Genomic DNA, 5,146 nt, shown 5'->3' with positions numbered 1-5,146 from the left:
CTCCTGGGTTCAAGCAATTCTCCTGCCTCAGCCTCCCACGTAGCTGGGATTACAGGCTGCTGCCACTGCACCCGGCTAATTTTTGTATTTTTAGTAGAGACAGGGTTTCACCATGTTGGCCAGGCTGGTCTCGAACTCCTGACCTTGTGATCCTCCCGCCTCGGCTTCCCCTAGTATTACAGGCGTGAGCCACCATGCCCAGCCGGGAATATTTTTTAATGACAAACTCAGTGATTAGATTTTAGTTCTTTAAAGTTTCTATAAATTTAAAGTAGTATGAACATTTAACATATTGAATTATGAAAACACTAGTCAAAGCAGCACAGTATGTTATAGTTGGATCGTGGAGAAAGTCCGGCAACACATGTCAGTAAAATTGTATTGCTCAGGAATATTCCAAGTGTCCAGATGAATTATAAAGCAGCTCCACATAATCAAAATAATTTTGTCACACGTTCTAACAGAGTATCCTTAATATTCTGCTCTCTTGAACAACCATCATGACCTCTTTACAGATCTTGGAAGTTATAAACTCTTCCTCATTCCCGTTACCTGACTTTCTTTGCAAATATATAATTGAGTTTGGTTTGAGCTATACATTTTGCCTCATTTACTGTGACTCTTCTTGTTTTCAGATTCATATTTGAACGTCCCTTCAAATGTAATAATCTTTTGAAGTTTATCTACGTGTGTACCTCTGGAAGGTGTTGTGAATACATTTGGGAGAGGGGAATGAGAAGCTTGGCTTGTTCTCTCGTATGTAACAGAAACTGTAAAATTGATCTGTCAAGGACTGAACTGTGGTCTCCGGCCTCTGGCCTAGAGTTTCTCTTACTTCTTGCATGCAGATTTTCAGTAAATGACAAAAGCCACATTACAGATTTTTAATTCCAACATTTATCCACATAAGCAAAAGTCAAATTCTGTTGCTATACTCCATTGATTGCTAAAATCACACCCCACTTTGACCATTTTTTCCTAAATTTTATAATTGATTATATTAGTATGTTGAAAAATAGGCTATATGCCTTTATCATGAAATTCCTAAGATCTTTCAGTTTCCTAATGATACTGTTGCCCTTGACTTCTAATGGCTTCTTTTACAGAGTTCTCACACTTTATCCCTAGTTTGGACAGATTGCTTTCTAGGACTGCAGCACAGCTGTCACCCTAGCCATTTGTTTTCATTGCCTACTTTAGTTCATCTTTTCTTAGATTTCACATTTTGCTCCTTCAAGAATTTGTAGTCCCTTGTTCCTGGCTAATAGCTGTGATTATTTCCTTTATTTCCTGAGTTTGTAAAATGTGTACTTGTAGAGATTTTGCATTTCTGGAAATACAATATTTTACCCCATTGTTAAACGAAAAGGTTGGCTGGAGAAATAGAAACCTGTGTACATTCGTCCCCCAACCCCTAGAACTTAGAACTTTCTAGTATCCAGCATTGGTAATAGCAAGTGTGGAAGAAAACCGATTCTTGATCCTTCATAGATGATCTTTTTTGATTGTTTCTTAATAGAACCCTCTTTTGTGCTGTGAAGTTTTACCATTTTCAAATTTTACAATTTTGCGTTCTGATATTTTACAAAGAAATGCCTAGGTGGCAGTATTTTTATTTCATTTTGCTATGGTTTTTGGTGCCCTTTCGATATCAAAACTCATGTTTTATTTTAACTCTCAAATTTTATTCCATTTAAACATTCTCCTTCCTTATTCTTAACATTTTTTAATATTTGAAATTACCTATATTAATACTCTAGTCTCACATTTTCCCTCTTTGACTTGTTGGTAAATATTCTAAGAAATAATATTTCTAAATCTTCCTTCCAGGCAGTCTTGGTTATTTTTACCTCGGCACAAATTTCTGACATCAGAACTCTAGCTTGCTCTCACTTTGTGTTTTTTCAAAGCTACAATTTTACTTCGTCATCCTGAGTTCTTTGTAGTATACTAAATAGGAGAAGATAAATTTTAGGTTCTATGAATGTCTACTTTATTTGAATAATATTGTTTCTATGTTCATCTTGAGCCTAAACTTCTAAAATTCTAGTCTTTCTCAAAACTCTGGCTATCCTGGCTGATTTCTCACTTATACAAATGAAGATTTAGGCTGATTCATATTGCTATTGTGTTGGTGTGTTTTCCTACACTGCTTCTCTTCTGAAAGAGAGAATGGAATTAGATCTTTGTGTACAGGAGTGGCTGAGGACAGGATTTATGTTGAGGTGCCACAAGGGTCAAACCAGTAGAGTGTGCTGTCGAGAAGTATCAAGTCAATGAGTGTCAGCCAGAATATTAATGACACTGTTCTTCTAGAAAGTTGGTTCAATTTATTTCTATAAAAGTTCTCAGGCTATAATGGCAGAGATGAACACTTACAGTAGATAATCACTCCCTGCACCTGGGGGAGGTGGTAAGGGACCAGTTGTCACTCATGTTCCCTAGAATATTTAATTACGCATCCTGATTACTTTCCACATCCCAAATCTGCTCCCAATTTCTCTTACTCTGATGCTGGAGTCATTCTATGGTTCTGCCAACAAAAACGTCTCCTACATCTACGGTAGCCTTCTCTGAATATTCTGGCCCGTGGCTGCCTTTTTTTCTGTCAGATGTATCAACATTGTCCCGTATTTTTTAATTTTCTATTCTATCTATTTCTATCCACATATTTCATTGTTTGATGGTCCTCTTTCTGTTCATGTTTCCATCGTTCTTTTCAAGTTTTTACTGTCCAAAACGTCAGTTAAGAACCACTTACTGGGAAAACAGAGAAGATAAACATTATGTTTGTTGAGTTTGACCTCTGAGAGGAAGGCAGTAAAGGTTGTTTTGTTAAATCATGGCAAAAGATAAGCTTCCAAAAGTAACTGGTATTTTGAAAAACCAAGACACGCGCGTGCATGCACACACACGCACGCACGCACACACACACGTATTACTGGACAGGAAACAAACCTGCTTATTGCTCCTGAGGGAGACACTAGCTCTATCTCCCCAGGCTGTTCTTCATGCAAATATCTTTGAAGAGAATCTGTGAAGATACTGGAACAAAGACACTCATGCCTCTGTAATCGAGACATGCAGTAACAGGAAGGCCCATAGAAAATTGTGTCCCAGCAGTGTTTTGGCCTAAGCACTAATACATTTTTCTGTTGAAATAATCTGGACCCAAGTATCCACCATGACCCTCTCTATTGGAAAAAGAGAGCCTGACTTAGAACCAATGCAAACTTAGCAGCCTATTGGGCCTTCTGCTCTAGGCTGAGCCTGTTTTCGTTTTTCACTTCAACAGGACAAAACATCAGGCTCAAATATAAAAAACCCAAGAGACAAAGGGGGCGAATAAGGCCATGTGCCCCAAAAAGGTTTATTTACATCACTCTCGTTAGCCTTCCATCATCTTGAGGTTTAAATGTGCCAGCAAACAAGTGTCTTTATCGAATCCTGATGAAATGTGGAAAGGATAGATAACTCCTCTAGAAACCAGTACACTTTTTCTTTTTTTTTCTTTATTTTTTGCACTGTCCTTAAAGGATGCATCAAATTTGGCTTTGTAACATAATTATCTGGGTTGAAGCCTTTACCCTCTGATTTCTTAACTTCTTAGAAGCAAAAATTATGTCTTAATTATCTATCAGAGGTATGTCCTAAAAGACTGTTTGGAAACAATATGTTAAAATCAGTTAAAGTGAAAAATGCATCTCAAATAAAAGAAAAGATGTCTCTAATAAAAGACAACTTTTAAAACTTGATTGGCAATCAAAATGTACATTCTTTTTCAATATATATCAAAATATTATGATATTAAATAACATTTTATTGTGCTTAGTCAGCATTTCATTACATTAAGATAAACACTTATTCGTTGAAATTTTATTCTTCACTATTTAAATATAGAAAAGTAAAATTTTATGAGAATTGCAAACATCTCAGAACAGAATATTGATTTTATATCAGTGTGCTTCAAATATGAAAAATATTATCATTTGGTCAATTATATCATACAATTTGAGAAATGATAAGATCTAATATAGTTTTCTGAATATAAATCATAACATGTGTGACATATTGAAAATGACCATATATTGTGATATATATTGAAAACAAGTGCATATTCAATGATTAGATTCAGTGTTTTTGCACAGAAGAAATGTATAACATTCGTGGGTATATTATACAAATAAAACTGTAAACCAATATACCATAGAATCACAGAAATTAAAGAGGTGTGTTCTTTTGCTTAATGCAGCCACATTGCTTTGAAAATTTAAGAAATAAGCATCAGAGAAGCTGATGATTTGACCACGGTCCTCCTGCACGAACCCAGCAAAATTCAGACACCAACCTAAATCTTTTGACTCCTAATAAATTCTTTCGTCATAATAACAAGAAGTCTCTCTATTTTTTTTTATAAGAATATCACTGTATTTATTTTCCTTCAGGTAATTTTTCTATGGCTTCAACATTTTCTCTTCAAAATTAGAAGAAAAATATCCCAAAGTTTAGAACTGGATCACTTGGCCCTTTCTCTTCCTATCTCCTCCCAGTTCAAAATGCTTGCATCTCTTAATGGCCAGCATCCTCTTGGATCTGCAGTTAGGCTCAACACATTGTCCAGCCTTAGCACAATCTTCTTTGTGGTCTTAGCCTTCTTCCAGAAAATTGGCTTTGTCTGCCCACCATAGCCACTCTGCTTCCGATCATAGTGCCACTTTCCCTAGGCATACAAAGAATCCTTACCCTTCTTATACTGTGTCACTTTGTGAGGCTGATGCTTGCCACACTTCTTACAGAAGGTTCTTCCGGTTTTAGGTACGTTGACCATCTTTGCAGCAGGGCTGTTTTGTCTACATGATGAGAACAAGAAACGGCATCGGAGACCCTTGCCTCCGGCAGCTCTCGCCTAACAGGAAAGGGAAGAAAGAGCTCTCTTTTTCATAACTAATGAATTTAAATAGATTTTGAGCCCATTTTCAAAACTAGAAGGGGAAAGGGAAATATTTTAAAAGTTACAAATATGATTAGGTCAAATAATCACTAAGACGGCACATCTATTAATAGAACAGGAATATAGGATGCCATATGCATCTCAAAAATCTCAGGACTTTTAGAAAACACTAGCATTCTCTATGCACCCACTTGC

At 36.3% G+C, this 5,146-nt stretch overlaps 1 pseudogene; it reads right to left on the bottom strand.

Moving 5' to 3' along the window:
* On the bottom strand, positions 4,463 to 4,843 carry RPL36AP21 (ribosomal protein L36a pseudogene 21; annotated as a pseudogene).

This window comes from Homo sapiens, chromosome 5 (genome assembly GCF_000001405.40).
Source record: "Homo sapiens chromosome 5, GRCh38.p14 Primary Assembly".
NCBI lineage: Eukaryota > Metazoa > Chordata > Mammalia > Primates > Hominidae > Homo > Homo sapiens.
The sequence above is the reverse complement of the archived record's forward strand: the minus strand, read 5'-3'. Positions and strand labels throughout refer to the sequence as shown.